Source organism: Homo sapiens, chromosome 15, assembly GCF_000001405.40.
Source record: "Homo sapiens chromosome 15, GRCh38.p14 Primary Assembly".
Lineage (NCBI taxonomy): Eukaryota > Metazoa > Chordata > Mammalia > Primates > Hominidae > Homo > Homo sapiens.
Window position 1 is genome coordinate 40,010,603 of NC_000015.10, and position 18,435 is coordinate 40,029,037.

General features: G+C 41.4%; 1 protein-coding gene across 1 annotated transcript in view, besides 2 other annotated features; it reads left to right on the plus strand.

Annotated features, from left to right (window-relative positions):
- The window catches only part of EIF2AK4 (eukaryotic translation initiation factor 2 alpha kinase 4), a 101,477-nt gene that overhangs the window by 76,488 nt on the left and 6,554 nt on the right, over window positions 1–18,435 (plus strand). Inside the window, exons 27-33 of the mRNA NM_001013703.4 lie at window positions 679–744; window positions 5,900–6,070; window positions 6,506–6,640; window positions 8,491–8,598; window positions 10,297–10,425; window positions 11,917–12,003; window positions 15,375–15,487. Of these exons, the coding sequence (NP_001013725.2) occupies window positions 679–744; window positions 5,900–6,070; window positions 6,506–6,640; window positions 8,491–8,598; window positions 10,297–10,425; window positions 11,917–12,003; window positions 15,375–15,487 (809 nt within the window). The remainder of the gene's footprint in view (window positions 1–678; window positions 745–5,899; window positions 6,071–6,505; window positions 6,641–8,490; window positions 8,599–10,296; window positions 10,426–11,916; window positions 12,004–15,374; window positions 15,488–18,435) is intronic.
- Window positions 11,772–12,273: an enhancer, noted in NCBI's record as "H3K4me1 hESC enhancer chr15:40314575-40315076 (GRCh37/hg19 assembly coordinates)". NCBI's record gives its function as "activates a minimal SCP1, AML or CMV promoter by ChIP-STARR-seq in primed H9 embryonic stem cells {active_cell/tissue: H9 hESC(primed)}" and the evidence as "EXISTENCE:reporter gene assay evidence [ECO:0000049][PMID:30033119]".
- Window positions 12,274–12,773: an enhancer, noted in NCBI's record as "H3K4me1 hESC enhancer chr15:40315077-40315576 (GRCh37/hg19 assembly coordinates)". NCBI's record gives its function as "activates a minimal SCP1, AML or CMV promoter by ChIP-STARR-seq in primed H9 embryonic stem cells {active_cell/tissue: H9 hESC(primed)}" and the evidence as "EXISTENCE:reporter gene assay evidence [ECO:0000049][PMID:30033119]".

The following is an 18,435-nucleotide window of genomic DNA, read 5'->3' on the forward strand; positions in this document are numbered from 1 at the left end:
AGGAGATGTAAGAACTAACAGCACCAGAAGTCTATGGTTAAGACAGAGTAGTGGAAGTCCTCACATAATGGCTTATTGTTTTTATACACCAAAAGGATTAACTAGCTTTTCTTTCATCTGGCAGGTACACATCAATGGCCCAAACTTTACTGCTTGTTTCTTAGTGGTTCTTTACTCCCCCTAAAGCTCTGCTGCTGTTTGTCAGTGACAGATACAATATGATGTCAATCGGACACTGGCAGAAACCCCAGGGATTGTGCAAGGGGCTTCAGCTCTTACTGATTCATGTCCTGCGGCTACGGCACATCTGCCAGCGTGGGATGAAATGCCCAGAGCCTGGCCTTTGTTAGGGGAGCCCAGAGCAAAATGACTCCCTCCCTGCCCAAACAAATGCCCTCATTAAGCCTGTCCAGATTTGGGTCACCTCACCATTCAGCAAGTACAACTTTCCCCTTTTAATTCTTTTGTCAGGGTTTTTCAGATTTTAAAATAAGTTAATTACGGTTTTGTGTGAATTGGGAGAAAAAATTTTTTAATCACAGAATTCAATCTATCCTGTACCATTAGGAGCAGTTTGTTCAAAATGAAGGCTATACTTGTTAGAATTCGCCTGGAAATTGTGTCTTGTTCAGTGCCAGATTTCGCGACTCTCATTGTTACCTTTTTCTTCCACGTTAGACAGAGAAGCTGACGAGGAGAGAAGTGGAAGCTAAATTTTGTAATCTGTCTTTGTCTTCTAATAGTGTAAGTACCTTCTAATGGTATTATTACAGCTTTCTCTGTAATTTTGTGATACCAGAAAATGTCATCAAATTCTCGTTGCAGTAGGGTAGCAGCCAGCGCTTCCTACCACCTCGCAGATGCAGTTTTTCCCTTGAGTGTTAGGTACCATGGCAACCTCTGGGATTAGGAGAAGGGAGAAACTAATGCTGTGATCAAAGAATGTCTCTCCATGCTTCTTCTTGATACGCTGTAATCATCCTGCTCTTTCTTGATCAGCAGATACTTTTCTTTGTCACCCCTTATAGAGCTGTGCCTGGTAGAGCCTCCTGCTGAACATACCTAATACCAGTTGTCCTCTTTTGAATTAGATTATACAGGACTAGAAGGAGGCACAGAATTCTGCAAATTCATCTGGGGAGCTACCCTTCCCCTACCTCCATGTCTTCTAACTCCTCAGAGTTGAATTAAAGCTCTAGCTTTTCTGGTATATCTCTTAATCTTAAAATCTTACATTTGATCCCATCATCAATAAGGGAAATCTTATGGAATAAACAGTTTGGTCATATTCTCTCTGTAGGCATCAGATTGATCCCAGATCTTTGGTACAGTAACCCACACTTAATTGAGTAGCTGAACAACAGAATACAACAGGGATTTTGTACATTTTCCTGAATATTTAAATAAGGAAAGTTTTTTTTTAATTTCCCGGAACCTGTCTAGGCCCTTGTCTGACACTCAATTATATGATCTTGCATTGATCAGCAAAATTCACATATGGGATAGATTAAAATATGATTGTACACAGGGCAGGAAGAGTCACTCAATCTTTCGGACACCTACAGTGTGGCAGGCACAATGGCAGGGATATAAAGAAGAGTCCATAGACTGCATTCAGCTTCTTGGTTCATATTGGCCTTTAAAAAGCCATAAGGGGATATGCACAGCATGTATCTGCCCTCAACTCTGTAAAACAGCTTTCAGAGGGCACACGGAAACCAGAGTTCAAAGAAATCACCCCTTTGCGGGTAGGGAAAGTAAACCAGATGCATAGCACTAGGAGTTCTGAAAATTGAGCCAGGTTAAATCTTAAATATTTAATATTGGGGGAGATAGTAATGATATGCAAAGTAACACAACAGCTAAATATCCAAATATGAAGGACAATATACAGTATTTACATATAATCTAAACATGTACACAGCACACACCTATGTGCAGAAATAGTCCCATGTGTAAATAGCACAGAGAATCTGCACAAGACTGCTCAGTTCAATGATTCTATACCCAAGTTTCCAACCCAAAAGGTTATTTGGACTAAAGTCACATTTCAGAACATCTTTTTTTTTTTTTAAGAAAGTCTTATAAATATACATTCGGACGTAATAGCCACATTGGTTGTTCACATGTCAACTTCTTTTCTTTCTGTTAAATCTCTAACCACTGGTTATTCGATGATGCTAAGTGTTAATTAGACGTGTCTGATTCAGTTAAAAACAGAAAAATAGTATCTAATAAAGGCATTTGGTACTTTGATTATTTTAAAATGGACTCTAAGGGTATTAGGAAGGGGAGTAGAAATATTGCCAAAGAGTTTCACATATCTGACCCAGTCCTCTTATTTCACAAATGAGACACCTGAGGCCCAAAGAGATGTTGTGATTTGTCCTGAGTCACATGGAGTTAGTTGATGATAGGGTGAGGACCAAAATCTGGAGATATTGACTTCAGTGCTTCTGGTAGTTTATTATTGGGGTAATTTAATGTTCAAATTTATAGAGAAGAAATCATTTTTATTTTCTTAAAAAAATATTTTAAATCGAATACATGATTTTAAATTTAAATTTTTTTCTTTTTATTTTTTTGAGACAGGGTCTTGCACTGTCACGCAGGCTAGATTACAGTGGCACAATCATAGTTCACTGTAACCTCAAGCTCTTGGGCTCAAGAGATCTTTCTGCCTCAGCCTCCCACTTAATTTTTTTTTCTTTTTTATAGCGGGATAGCAGGCGTGAGCCATTGCATCCAGCCAAAATTTTTATCTTTAATCCCTCTATTAGTCTGCTGTCACACTGCTAATAAAGATATATCCGAGAGTGGGTAATTTATAAAGGAAAGAGGTTTAATGGATTCACAGTTCCACATGGCTGGGGAGGCCTCACAATCATGGCAGAAGGCACGGAGGAGCAAGTCACGTCTTATATGGATGGCAGAAGGCAAGGAGGAGCAAGTCACATCTTATATGGATGGCAGAAGGCAAAGAGAGAGAACTTGTGCAGAGGAACTCCTCTTTATAAAACCATCAGATCTCGTGAGACTTATTCATTATCACAAGACCAGCATGGGAAGGACCCGCCCCCACGATTCAATTACCTCCCACTGGGTCCCTCCCATGACACAGGGGAATTGTGGGAGCTACAGTTCAAGATGAAATTTGCATGGGGACACAGCTAAACCATATCATTCTACCCATGGCCCCTCCCAAATTTCATGTCCTCACATCTCAAAACCAATCATGCCTTCCTGACAGTCCCCCACAGTCTTAACTCATTTCAGCATTAACTCAAAAGTCCACAGTCCAAAGTCTCATCTGAAACAAGGCAAGTCCCTTCCGCCTATGAGCCTGTAAAATCAAAAACAAGTGAGTTACTTCCTGGATACAATGAGAGTACAGGCATTGGATAAATACACCCATTCCAAATGGGAGAAATTGGCCAAAACAAAGGGGCTAAAGGCCCCATGCAAGTCTAGAATCCAGCAGGGCAGTCAAATCTGAAAGCTCCAAAATGATCTCCTTTGACTCCATGTCTCACACCCAGGTGATGCTGATGCCAGGGGTAGGCTCCCATGGCCTTGGGCAGCTCCCCACCTGTGGCTTTGCAGGGTACAGCCTCCCTCCTGGATGCTTCCATGGACTAGCATTTAGTAGGGACTCTGTATGGGGGCTGCAAACCCACATTTCCCTTCTGCACTGCCCTAGCAGAGGTTCTCCATAAGAGCCCCACCCCTGCAGCAAACTTCTGCCTGGGCATCCAGGCGTTTCCATACATCCTCTGTAATCTAGGCGGAGGTTCCCAAACCTCAATTCTTGTTTTCCGTGCATCTGCAGGCTCAACAGCACATGGAAGCTGCCAAAGCTTGGGGCTTGAACCCTCTGAAGCAACAGCCTGAGCTGTACATACCTTGGCCCCCTTTAGCCATGGGTGGAGCAGCTTAGACACAGGGCACCAAGTCCCTAAGCTACATAGAGGAGGGGGGCCCTGGGGCCAGCCCACGAAACCATTTTTTCCTCCTAGGCCTCCAGGCCTGTGATGGGAGGGCCTGCCATGAAGACCTCTGACATGCCCTGGAGACATTTTCCCCATTGTTTTGGTGATTAACACTTGGCTCCTTGTTACTTATGCAAATTTCTGCCGCTGGCTTGAATTTTTCCTCAGAGAATGGGGTTTTCTTTCCTGTCTCATTGTCAGGCTGCAAATTTTCTGAATTTTTATGCTCTGTTTTCCTTTTAAAACTGAATGGTCTTAACAGCACCCAAGTCACCTCTTGATGCTTTGTTGCTTAGAAATTTATTCTGCCAGGTACCCAAAATCATCTCCCTCAAGTTCAAAGTTTCACAAATCTCTAGGGCAGGGGCAAAATTCTGCCAGTCTCTTTGCTAAAACATAGCAAGAATCACCTTTACTTCAGTTCCCAACAAGTTCCTCATCTCCATCTGAGACCACCTCAGCCTGGATTTCATTGACCACATCATTATCAGCATTTTGGTCAAAGCCATTCAACAAGTCTCTAGGAAGTTCCAAACTTTCCCCCATTTTCCTGTCTTCTTCTGAGCCCTCCAAACTGTTCCAACCTCTGCCTGTTACCCAGTTCCAAAGTCACTTCCACATTTTTGGGTATCTTTACAGCCCAACTCTACCGGTACCAATTTACTGTATTAGTTTGTTCTCGTGCTGCTAATAAAGACATACACGAAACTGCGTAATTTATAAAGGAAAGAGGTTTAATGAACTCACAGTTCTCTGTGGCTGAGGAGGCCTCACAATCATGGTGGAAAGCAAAGAGGAACAAGTCATGTCTTACATGGTTGGCAGCAGGCAAAGAGAGAGAACTTGTGCAGGGAAACTCCTCTTTATAAAACCATCAGATCTTGTGAGACTTATTCACTATCATGAGACTATCATGGGAAGGACCCGCCCACATGATTCAGTTACCTCCCACTGGATCCCTCCCATGACACATGGGAATTGTAGGAGCTACAATTCAAGATGAGATTTGAGTAGGGACACAGCCAAACCATATCAAGATTATAGGAGGTTTTAACATTTTTTGGGTTTTTTAAAAATTTAAGTGATTTATGATTAACTCTAAGATTAAGCTATGTCAATCTGAGCCTTCATTTAGCCCTTAGGTTTCATGTGCCAATTTATGGATGAACTAGGTTGTACTTGCCTACAGTCTTAAAATGGCTATAATTTTGTTTCTTAATAATTTCTACTTTAGCTCCTGGGAGTTTTCTTTCTGGCTTTATGACTATGGTTGTTTCCTCTTACTCCAGCTGAGTACCAGGGACTGTGAGATCAATCATCTCTAGCCACTGACCTCTTCTGGGGCAGTCTATGAGTACAGCTGGTGACAGCCAGGATCTGGCATCCAGGTGGGAGGAGAGGGAAGGGAGGATCAGGAGGCTGCCCACAGGAGAAGACATCTCAAGGTTGCAAATAGGAATGATTCAAGCCAAGGAAGGGAATTTCTAGCTAATTCTGTATTAAAACAAGTCAGACTTTGCCTTATTGTCCCCCCATGTCTATGCCTGCAGTAACAGGAATTCATGAGAATAAGAAAGGTAAAGAGGAAAAATACTGGCCTGAAAATAGATAATGGAAGCTCTGCTAGTGCCAGGGTCTGCTTTGCTGGGGTCAGCATTAAGTGTGAGTAAATGTATCTGAATAAAAGTGAACCATGAGTATGTGTCTAAAGCATTCCTGCAAGGTGCTTTCAAGTTGTTGGAAAAGGATAATCCTTAGTCAGGATTGTGGCAAAGCCTAAAATAATCTTTGACCACAAAGATAATCGTAGCATCCCATGTGCTCCTGCTCCTGCAGGTGCACACAGTCGGTGCAAAGGGAGTCTTCCCCTGCTGTGGATGGGCAGCTGACTGTGCCCCTTTGCTTTCCAGCTGTGTCGACTCTACAAGTTTATTGAACAGAAGGGAGATTTGCAAGATCTTATGCCAACAATAAATTCATTAATAAAACAGAAAACAGGTATTGCACAGTTGGTGAAGTATGGCTTAAAAGACCTAGAGGAGGTTGTTGGACTGTTGAAGAAACTCGGCATCAAGTTACAGGTTTGGCAACAGTTTGATACTGGCAGTACAAATGTGTAGCATTACTAATAGCACAGGGAGGAAATGTGTTTCATTTCACTAATGCTAGTTAGTGTTTTATTTTTCCAGAAAAACTGCTTTCTGTGTTTTGGAGCATTTGATATTTAGTAATAATTTTGGCTTAAATCAGGATTTCTTTGCAAGTGCCACTGTTCCTATCATGAAGCAGTTCTTACTATGTTAGCCTCAGAGAGGTGGTTATTCTTAAAGAGAAGAGAATTTATTTTACTTGTCAGGCTATGGTTAAACAGACTTTGAGCTAGATCTTACTGAATATTTTGTTTATGCTAAATAGATTGTTCTGATGCTATTGATGGGAAACACCATTTTCAGCATTATATTCCACATTCTAAATTTCAAACCCTTGACACATTTGTGTGGCATCTCTCTTTATAGGTCTTGATCAATTTGGGCTTGGTTTACAAGGTGCAGCAGCACAATGGAATCATCTTCCAGTTTGTGGCTTTCATCAAACGAAGGCAAAGGGCTGTACCTGAAATCCTCGCAGCTGGAGGCAGATATGACCTGCTGGTGAGGGCTTGCCCTTTATTTATTTGCTCTGACTTAATTTTATTTCTTCTAAACTTGTTATTTTGAAATTTTCAAACTAACACCAAAAATTTGAACCAGTAATATCATTGGATACTTCTATTAATATATGTTTCATCTAGGAATAGAAATATAATGTGAACCACATTTGTAGTTGTTTAAGCTTAAAACAATTATATTATTTTGCAAGATAGTTGCAAAGATAGTACTGAGAGGGCTCATGTACCCTTTACTCTGTTTCTATATATATATATATATATATATATATATATATATATATATATATATATATATGTATTTTGGAGACAGGGCCTTGCTCTGTCACCCAGGCTGGAGTGCAATGGCGCAATCTTGGCTCACAGCAGCCTCGACCTCCCTGGGCTCAAATGATTCTCTCACCTTAGCCTCCCGAGTAGCTGAGACTACAGGCATGCACCACCACACCCAGCTAATTTTTTGTATTTTCAGTAGAGACAGGGTTTTGCCATGTTGCCCAGGCTGGTCTCAAACTCCTGAGCTCAAGCAATCCACCCACCTCAGCCTCTCAGAGTGCTGGGATTATAGGTGTGAGCCACCACACCACCCCTTGCATAAGTACAGTAAAATATCAAAACCAGAAAATTGACATTTGTATAATGTATGTGCATCATTCTTCTCCATTTTATCACGTGTACTTTCCCTCAACAACCACCATAATCAAGGTACAGAACTATTCCATCACCACAGAGATTTATGGGTATCAACATCTTATCAATTCAAATGAAATGTAGAAACTTTATCTCCCTGTATGTCTCTTTACCTCATGCCCCATTTATAATATAATTGTCTTAAATATTTCTTCTAATACATTGAGATCCACATCAAACAGTGTTAAATTTTTTACTTTACTGTTAAATATAATTATAAAACTCAAGGGGAGAAGAAGGTCTATTGTATTTACCCCAAATTTCTGGTTTGTGATGAGAAATTTGCTGTTATTTGAGTTACTTTTCCCCTATAGGAAAGTTATTTCTGACTTGATGCTTTAAAGATTATTTTCTTTGTCTTTAGTTTCAAATTAAATCATGATGTGTCTTGGCATGAGTTTCTTTGGATTTATCCTGTTTAGGGTTTGCTTAGCTTCTTAAATCTATAGGTTTATGTCTTTTGCGAATTTGGAGGATTTTTTCAGGCATTCTTTGATTTTTTTTTTCAGTCTCACACTCTTTTTTCTCTCCTTCTATGACCCCAGTGACACAAATGTCCTTGAGGTTATGGGACATTTTTGTCCAGGCTGATCTCACACTCCTGGCTGCAAGCAATCCTCCTGCCTTGGCCTTTCAAAGCACTGGGATTGCGGGTGTGAGCCACCACACCTGACCTGTAATTTTAAATTATTTAGTAACATTAAGTAAAAGGAGACAAGTGGTATTAATTTTATAATATATCTTATTTAACTTAGTATATCCAAAATATTATTTCAACATGTACTCAAACTTCTAAAAATTATTAACAAGGATTTTACATTTTTTTCAAAGTCTTTGCAGCCAGTATGTGTTTTACATGTACAGCATGTGTCAATTTGGATTAGCCATATTTCAAATACTCAGTAGTCACTTGTGACTAGTGGCTGCCATATTGAACAGTGCAGAGTTAGATGAAACATTTGTTAATATTTTTTCTAAATTTGCATGTGTGCTTGCTTCTCTATTTTACTACACACACACATTTCTTTTTGTTGAACTCTTTGATGATGAGCTGCTGACAGAGTGCTCACTCTTTAATCATTGTTTTCCCCGTAATCACAGTTTCTTTCCTATTTCATAACCATAACTGTTTGTGTCTCTCCACAGATTCCCCAGTTTAGAGGGCCACAAGCTCTGGGGCCAGTTCCCACTGCCATTGGGGTCAGCATAGCTATAGACAAGATATCTGCTGCTGTCCTCAACATGGAGGAATCTGTAAGTTCTGGCTTGGCTTCCCAGCATACTTCGAGGTGTCTTTCATTTCTAAAAGTATGATTTGCCTTTTGCAGTCATTTACATGGGGCTTCTGATGTGAAAGCTATAGACGTAGGGTTTTGAAACTTACCTTTAATATGATAGACAAGCCTAAGACTTGATGTCAATCCCTGCATTTCAGTCCTTATCATCTGTTCTCTAGCTGGACGACCTTAGACCAGGGGTCCCTAACCCCCAGGCAGTGGACTGGTACCCATCCAGGGCCTGTTACGAACCGGGCCGCACAGCAGGAGGTGAGCAGTGGGCAAGCAAGCATTACCACCTGAGCTCCACCTCCTGTCAGATCAGCGGTGGCATTAGATTCTATAGGAGCATGAACCTTGTTGTGGACTGCACATGGAAGGGATCTAGACTGCACGCTCCTTAGGAGAATCTAACTAATGCCTGATGATCCGAGATGGAATAGTTTCATTCCAAAAGCATCCCCTCCCAACCCCCGCACCATCCATGAAAAATTTTCTTCCATGAAACCAGTCCCTGGTGCCAAAAAGGTTGAAGACTTCTGCCTTAGACAATTAATTCATCCTTCCCTAGACTCATTTTCCTTATCTGTAACGTACCATATAAATGTGAGATGTTATAGTTGTTAACAGGCTCTTAACAAAACTTCTTGTTCAGGCCAGGCATGGTGGCTCATGCCTATAATCCCAGCACTTTGGAAGGTCGAGGCAGGCAGATCGTTGAGCCCAGGAGTTCAAGACTAGCCTGGGCAACATAGCAAAACCCCATCTCTACCAAAAAAATACAAAAATTAGCTGGGTGTGGTTAATTAGCCATGCACCTGTAGTTCCAGCTACTCAGGAGGCTGAGGTGGGAGAATCGTTTGAACCCAGGAGGGGGAGGTTGCAGTGAGGTGAAATCATGCCACTTCCACTCCAGCTTGGGCAACAGAGCCAGACCCTGTCAAAAAAAAAAAAAGAAAAAAGAAAAGAAAAGAAATCCTGCTGTGGTCTACAAAGCTAGAAATAGCTTTTTTTCCCCCTTGTATTTCAGGCAAGATTAGTTTTCCTAGAGAAAAATGGTATTTTCCAGATGGCTCAGGGTAGTTGAAATAATTTCTGTCTTGAAAGACTAACATAACATTTTTTTTTTTTTTACTGTGGCCGAGCATGGTGGCTCATGCCTGTAATTCCAGCTATATCCCAATAAGGCCAAGGCAGGTGGATCACTTGAGGCCAGAAGTTCGAGACCAGCCTGGCCAACAAGCAGAACAACATCCCTACTAAAAAGACCAAATATATATATGTATATATATTTATTTATTTATTTATTTATTTATTTTAGCCGGGCATGGTGGTGCACGCCTGTAATCCAGCTACTCTGGAGGCTGAGGCAGGAGAATGGCTTAAACACAGGAGGCGGAGGTTACAGTGAGCGGAGATCGTGCCACTGTACTCCAGCCTGGGTGACAGAGTGAGACTCTGTCTCAGAAAAAAAAAGAAAAAGTTGTTTGAGTGTGTCTTTTTTTTTTTTTTTTACAATGTGTTTTGAAGCAAAGTCTTTGGCACGCTGTGTTTCTATGCAGGATTTCAAGAATGCCCATCTTCCCAAGAGTGCTGCCTCCCCTCCTGATGCTGGTTTCACTTCCATGCCTGCAGTCTTGCTCCTCTAACTGTAACCGGTCTGTTTCTGATCCAGGTTACAATAAGCTCTTGTGACCTCCTGGTTGTAAGTGTTGGCCAGATGTCTATGTCCAGGGCCATCAACCTAACCCAGAAACTCTGGACAGCAGGCATCACAGCAGAAATCATGTACGACTGGTCACAGGTAATGGGACAAAAAGCACCTGTGAGTGAAGTGCAAATTGCTATGGCTTTCATGGCAAATATCCTCTGCACCTATAGACTGTCAAACTCTGTTTATCTCTGTAATTCGAGTTGCCTCCTGTGTTAGTTTCTGATTGCTGCAGTAACCAATTACCACAAACTTACTGGCTTAAACACATATTTATTATCTTACATTTCTGGAAGTCAGAAATCCAAAAGCACTTTCACTGGGTTAAATTCAACAGGGCTGGCTCCTCTGGGAAGCTCTAGGGGAGAATCTGTGTCCTTCCCTTTTCTGGCTCCTAGAGGCCTCCTGCATTCCTTGGCTCATGGCCTCTTCCTCCATCATCACACTCAGCAATGAAGCGCCTCCTTCCTTGCTGACCTGTGCTTCTGTTCTTACATCTGTCTCTAACTCTTGTCTGTCCAGCTCCCTCATACATGCACCCTGTGATTACGTGGGGCCCACCCAGATAATCCTGGTTGATCACTCACAGGTTCTAGGAATGAGGATATGGACATCTTTGCGGGGCTGTACTCCAGCCTGCCACACTTCTGAAGGCACTCAGTGCTTAGTGTGTTTTGGGCTCTGTATCCTGAGACCTCCCACAGCATGCAGGCCTGACACTTGCCGTGGGTGTGGAGGTGTGGAAAGTGGCACCCAGGACACATGCCTGCCCTTTGGAATGGGGGCGTAAGCAGACCATAGAAGGGGTGCACTCCCAGGAGATCATCCAGGTTGTACCCACATTCGCCCACACTAAAGGTGCCCCAGAGCATGGCGATGACCAGGGACACAGACCCACCACCCTCCCACCTGCTCTGTTTACATCACCTGCCAGGAGGCTTCTGAAGCTGCTGCTGTTTACTCGTGTGTGTGTGTTGTATCAAAATTCACATCAGAAGTGTGCTGAGCAACAATTTTTAATCATTTGACAGAACAGTGTCCTCTTCTACTTGTTCACATGTTTCATAAATCATTAGAGAAGTGTTCTGTCCTGCAGTAAAATCCAAGCCTCGTGGCCAGTGACCTCAGTCCTGCACAGTGACACCCCACAGGCTTCTCTGCCCCCTCCTGGTTTGCTTCTTCAGTTCTGCTTTTCACCTTCCCTTATTTCCTTTGTTTCCTTCATTTTCCTCAGAGGCTTTTTCAGCGTGTGTGTGTGTGTGTGTGTGTGTGTGTGTGTGTATGTTGTGTTGTATAATTTTGGGCATCTTTTATTAAGTCTTGAAGCTTTTGAAAACCTCTTACTATTGATTGATTATTCATGGCCCTTTAAACAATCATGAAGGGAAGGGAGGCAAGAGAGGCCTTGTTCCTCCCTTGAATTCTATGCGGCTTCTTGCTTAATATTTATATCCCCCTGAAGTCAGCATTTTAGTAATTCACATTGAGAATATAATTGGAAACAGTATTTTCATTCTCCTTAATTACTTGAAGCTGTTCCAGGTGCTCTGTGTTTATTTTCTTTACTATGTTTGTTTGTTTCAGTCCCAAGAGGAATTACAAGAGTACTGCAGACATCATGAAATCACCTATGTGGCCCTTGTCTCGGATAAAGAAGGAAGCCATGTCAAGGTAAAGACGTCAGAGATTTTTTACAATTCAATAGTTAGGTGTTACCTGTGGAGCACCTGCCTTCACACTGAGGCCCGGGCCGTGTAGGTGACTGGAAATCCGTTCCCTCTACTCTCCCTTTCCATTGTTGGGTTTCTTTTTTTTTTTTGAGACGGAGTCTCGCTGTCTCCCAGGCTGGAGTGCAATGACGCAATCTCGGCTCACTGCAAGCTCCGCCTCCCGGGTTCTCGCCATTTTCCTGCCTCAGCCTCCCCGGTAGCTGGGACTGCAGGTGCCCGCCACCACGCTCGGCTAATTTTTTGTATTTTTAGTGGAGACGGGGTTTCACCATGTTGGCCAGGATGGTCTCCTGACCTCGTGATCTGCCCGCCTCGGCCTCCCAAAGTGCTGGGATTACAGGGGTCAGCCACCGCGCCCGGCCGTTGTTGGGTTTCTTGCTGAAGAAAATGTGTATAAAATAAGGAAGAGAGTCCACCTTCATTAAAGCTTTAAAAAGCAAAACAAACAAAAAAACTGGCTGTGGTTTTTTCCTACTTTTCTCCTCTTGTTCTCTTTTTCCAGCTAAGAAAATAAGAATAAGTAAAGTTGTATCTGCTGATAGGCATATCCTCTCATTGCTTTGTAACCAATTTTACTTTTTTGTATTCAACTAAAAGTGTTCATAAATATACCACCTCATAACCTTTATTTCTAATTATTTTTAAAGGGAAAAAAACTTTCTTAAAAATATTTTTCTCTTCTAATTTTTTTTTGGTTTCGATATCAGGGTAATGTTGGCCTGATGAAATGAGTTGGAGAGTGTTCTCTCCTCTTCTGTTTTCTGTAAGATACTGTATACAATTAGTATTAGAAGTCCAATCTCAAATATTTCTATATATAGAGCTATTCTGGTTACCTCTTTCTTCTAGAGGCAGCTTTGGTAGTTTATATCTTTCCCGGAACTTTTCCATTTCGTCTGAGTTTTCAGATATTCCCCTGTTATTGTTTCACTGTCTCTAGGATCTGCAGTGATGCTCCCTCCTTCAGACCTGATATGGGTAATTTGTGTCCTCCCTCTTTTTTGTCTAATCAGCCTGGCTAGAGATTGATCAGTTTTGTCTTTCCAAGGACCAGCTTTTGGTGTCATTGATTTTTCTCAGTTTTTATTTGTTCATGTGTTTTCTATTTTATTCATCTCCACTCTTATCCATTACTATTTTCTTCCTTCTGCTTATTTTGGATTTAGTTTATTCTTTTTTTAGTTTCTTCAGGTAGAACTTTAGATGAGGTATTGACAAACTACACCTTGGACCAAATTCAGCCCATAGCCTGCTTTTATATGTCTGTGAACTAGAAATTTTTACATTCTTTGTTAAAAAACAACAACAAACAAAGGAGAGTGTGTGACTCCAACTATGTATGGCCCTCAAAGCTTAAAACATTTCCTATCTGGCCCTTTACAGAAAAAAATTTGAAGCTTTGTTATTATACATGTTTAGGATTTTATATCTTCTTGATGAATTGTCTTCATCATTATAAAATATTCCTTATCCCTGGTAATATTTCTTGTTCTGAAATCTTTTGGTTAGTGTTTACGTCACTACCTTTCTCCATCCTTTTATTTTTAACCTGTCTTTTTTTTTTAAGAGATGGGGGTCTCATCATGTTGCCCAGGCTGGCCTTGAACGCCTGGGCTCAAGCAATCTTCTCACCTCAGCCTCCAGCTGGGATACAGGCGTGTGCCACTGCACCTGGCTAACTTATCTATCTTTATATTTAAAGTGAGTTTCTTATACACAGTCACTAGGTTGAGTTTTCCTTTTTTTTTTTTTTTTTTTTTTTGAGATGGATTCTTGCTCTGTCACGCAGGCTGGAGTGCAGTGGTGCAATCTCCACTTGCTGCAACCTCCACCTCCCAAGTTCTCCTACCTCAGCCTCCTGAGTAGCTGGGTTTATAGGCACACACCACCACACCCAGCTAATTTTTGTATTTTTAGTAGAGACAGGGTTTCACCATGTTGGTCAGGCTGGTCTCGAGCTCCTGACCTCATGATCCACCCACCTCGGCTCCCCAAAGTGCTGGGATTAGAGGCGTGAGCCACTGCGCCCAGCCTCCTTTTTTTTTTTTTACTCTGAGAATCCTGGCTTTTTTTTGTTTTTTTTTTTGAGACAGGGTCTCACTCACCTATGTTGGAGTGCAGTGGCGCGATCTCAGCTTACTGGAACCTGTCTCCCAGGATCAAGTGATCCTCCCACCTCAGCCTCCCGAGTAGCTGGGACTACAGGCACGCACCACCATGACTGGCTAATTTTTGTATTTTTAGTAGAGACGAGGTCTCTACTAAATGCCAAATGCCATGAGATTTGCTAAATGCCATGAGAGTCCTACAGATAAAGTTCTCCAAGGGTCCCTCAGGCTGGGAGATTTACATAAGAGGCAGCAGTGAAGTCTTCAGGAAGGTGCTGGGATTTATCCTACCCTCAAGAATTCGTGGTCCTGGAAGGGCCTTTTAGGAAGAGGGAACTGCAAAGGTGATGGTAGTTCTTTTAGTAGTTGTCCCAAAGATAGAGGCAGGCCAGCAGAGAACCATTCTGGTACAACCCTGAATAGTCTATTTTGGGTGAGACAGATGGATCAGAAGCAGAAAATGGTTATAGCTACATCATGGAGAGCCCAAATGCCAACCAAGGAATCTGGTTTTTTTATTTAGCAGTTATTGGGGAGGCCCCGAATGTTTTGAACAGAAGGAGACATCAAAGTTGTGTTTGAGAAAAATTAATCTGCAGGGATGTGTAGCATGGAATAGAGTGAGGGAGAAACCGAGGACAGTGATAGCAGTATAAAGAATATCAAACTAGCCTAGGCCAAGGTTGGGTGCTGGCCAGGGGAGTGAAGATGAAGGGACAGATGCCATAAAAGTGGGATGACAGGACTTGGGTTTAGAAAGGAGAGGGAGGAGTGGTAGATGAAGCTGAGATCTGAGAAACCTTGGTGGCTGACCAGATTTAAAGGGGAAGATGTTAAAGAATCACATGAAATGAGAGCCCATTCATCTTGGCCTTAAAAAAAAAAAATTCTATCATCTGTGATAAACTAGTCCAGACCAGGGTTTCTCAACAGCAGCGCTGTTCACATTTTGGGCCAAATAATTCTCTGTTGTAGGGGGCTGTCCTGTGCATTAACAGCATCTCTGACCGCTACCTACTACATGCCAGTTGCACCATCCAAAAATGTCACCAGACATTGCTAAATGTCCCCTGGGGAGCAAAATTGACCCTGGTTAAGAACCACTGACCCAAACTATTGATTTAGTAGTCTTACTGTGGTGCTCTGAGCTAGTCTTCTGGGTTCAGAAACCTCCAAATGATAGATCCGTTTCATTCTTTTTAAGGTTAAGTCTTTCGAGAAGGAAAGGCAGACAGAGAAGCGTGTGCTGGAGACTGAACTTGTGGACCATGTACTGCAGAAACTGAGGACTAAAGTCACTGATGAAAGGAATGGCAGGTAACTTAGGAAACAAAAGCCGAGAAAAGTGACTTCAGTTACCTATATGGAAACTACGTAAATTTATTTTAAAAGTCAATTTGAGCCAGGTGCTGTGGCTCACACCTGTAATCCCAGCACTTTGGGAGGCCAAGTTTGGGGAATCACTTGAGGCCAGGAATGCAAGACCAGCCTGGGCAACATACCAAGACCCCATTTCTAAAAAAAAAATTTTTTTGATTAGCTGGGCATGGTGGTGCATTCCTATGGTCCCAGCTACTCAGGAGCTGAGGTGGGAGGATTGCTTGAGCCCAGGAGGTCAAGGCTGCAGTGAGCCATGTTCATACCACTGCACTCCAGCCTGGGTGAAGAGAAAGACCCTGTCTAAGAAAAACAAAAAGAAAGAAATCAATTTGATCCTTTTGAGAAACAAAGATAGGTCAGGATTACTTTTAATGAACCATTCTGTTGCTTCTGAATAACTCAATCAGGAGTTTAATTGTATGACCATCTTGTATGAGACTAATCATAGCTTACATTCAACATTTGTTCTTCATACCATTTCCAAGAATACTTTATCATTTTGAAAAGCCTCAGGAGCCAAAATCTATCTGTCATTATCTTATTCAGTCTGCTAATCAGTGAATTTCAATAATATTTTGTCCGTGTACTTTGAAAGATGTAACGTTCTGGGAAAAGATCTCACTTCCTCATGATGGGAGTATCAACCATATGGGTAGGAATTTGACAAAGTAAATTAAAAGCCTTAAAACTAAACATTTTTTTTAAATTGACCCAGCAATTCCACTTTCAGGAATTTATAATAAAAATTATTTTAAAGATGTCTATCAAGGCTCATTTATAACAGCAGTTCTCAAACTTTTTGGTCTTAGAACCCCTTTACACCCTTAAAAATTATTTCAGGATCCCAAAGAACTTTTGTTTATGTGAGTTATATCTATAAATATTAAAACATAAACATTTTAAATATGTTTATTCATTTAAAAATAACAATAACCCCATTACATGCTAACGTAACATATTTCTATTGAAAAACAACTGTTTTCCAAAAGAAAATTAACTTAGTAAGGAAAATGGCATTGTTTAAAATATTTGCACATCTTTTAGTACACTGTTTTACATTTTTGTAATCTATTTTAACACTTTAGTAGAAGAAATGATTCTCCTGTCTGTTTATGTATTCAATCTGTTGTGATACCACAAATCATATAGTCTCTGGAAAACTCGGTTGCACATTTATGAGAGGATGAGAGTGAAAAGGCAATTAATATTTTAAGATTATTATGAAAATAGTTTTGACCTTGCAAGACCCCTTGAAAGGATATGAGGGACCTTCAAGATTCTCTAGACCACACTTGGAGAACCTCATTTCAAAATATACATTGGTAGAAGATTGTTTGAATTATGATAATTTGGTGAAATATTGTGCAGCCTTTAAAAATGATGATTCTACTAAAGCTGAGTTCATTGACATGGAAAGATGTCCATAAATAGGATGTTTAATATAATCCCATTTTGTGGCCGGGCGTGGTGGCTCACGCCTGTAATCCCAGCACTTTGGGAGGCCGAGAAGGGGGGATCATGAGGTCAGGAGATCGAGATCATCCTGGCTAACACGGTGAAACCCCGTCTCTACTAAAGATACAAAAAAATTAGCGGGGCATGGTGGCGGGCACCTGTAGTCCCAGCTACTCGGGAGGCTGAGGCAGGAGAATGGCGTGAACCCGGGAGGTGGAGCTTGCAGTGAGTGGAGATCGTGGACTGCACTCCAGCCTGGGTGACAGAGCGAGACTCTGTCTCAAAAAAAAAAACAAAAAGAACAACAACAACAACGAATATATAATCCCATTTTGTTTTAAACAAAATATACAACCTATACATAAAAAAATGTCTAGAAGAACGTACCAAATTTTTAATTGTAGTTTTGGTTAGTGGGATTACAAGGGATCTTAAATTACTTTGTTAAGCTTTTCTATATATTTGCAACTCCTTTTTTTTTTTTTGAGATAGAGTCTCACTTTTGCCGAGGCTGAAGTGCAGTGGTGTATACATGACTCACTATAGCCTTAACCTCCCAGGCTCAGGTGATCCTTCCTTCTTGGCCTCCTGAGTAGCTGGGACCGTAGTCATGTACCACCTTGTCCAGCTAATTTTTTTAAATTATTTGTAGAGACAGGATCTCCCTATGTTGCCCAGGCTGGTCTCCAACTCCTGGACTCAAGCAACTCTCCCGCCTCAAGAAATTCTTATATGTATGCTCATTATCAGAAAATACCACACGGTAATTTTTCTGGCTTACATCAGCAATTCTCAACCAACAATGATTTTGCTTCCCAGGGCACATCTGGCAATGTATGGAGACATTTTTGGTTGTCACAACTGGGGAGTTTTACTGGTATCTAGGAGAGGCCAGGGATACTGTGAAAACATCCTAAAGGGTACAGGACTACTACCCCCCAACAGAGAATTTTCTGGCCTAAAATTTCAGTAGTACCAAGATTGGGAAATCCTGGCTTACAGAAAACAAACCTTGCTCTGTTCTTCTCATGCCCCCACCCCTTCTTATTTGCACCTAGCCTTAATAAATTCACCATTAGGTGTTTCTGAGGGAACATAATGTTCTGGAAATCACCAGTATTGGAATTATAGATCTAAATCAAAGACAGAGGTTTAGAAGAGAAACCAAGAAATAGCCAAGTAGTGAGTATGGGGGAACATTACCAAGACACTTAAAAGGCTACATGGGATTTAGTTTTAGCAGGGAAAGGTTCAAAGTTTTTCCTCCAGCAAATGATTATTTCCCTGTTTTCCCAAGATAGAGTGCTGTTGTCTCTCTCAAAGGCTATAAATTAATTCACAGCATTTGAAAGAACATCCATTCACGGCTTTTTAAAGAATATCTTTATTTACCAAATGTTCTCCTGTGGGTGGTTGCCAAGGCTACTGCC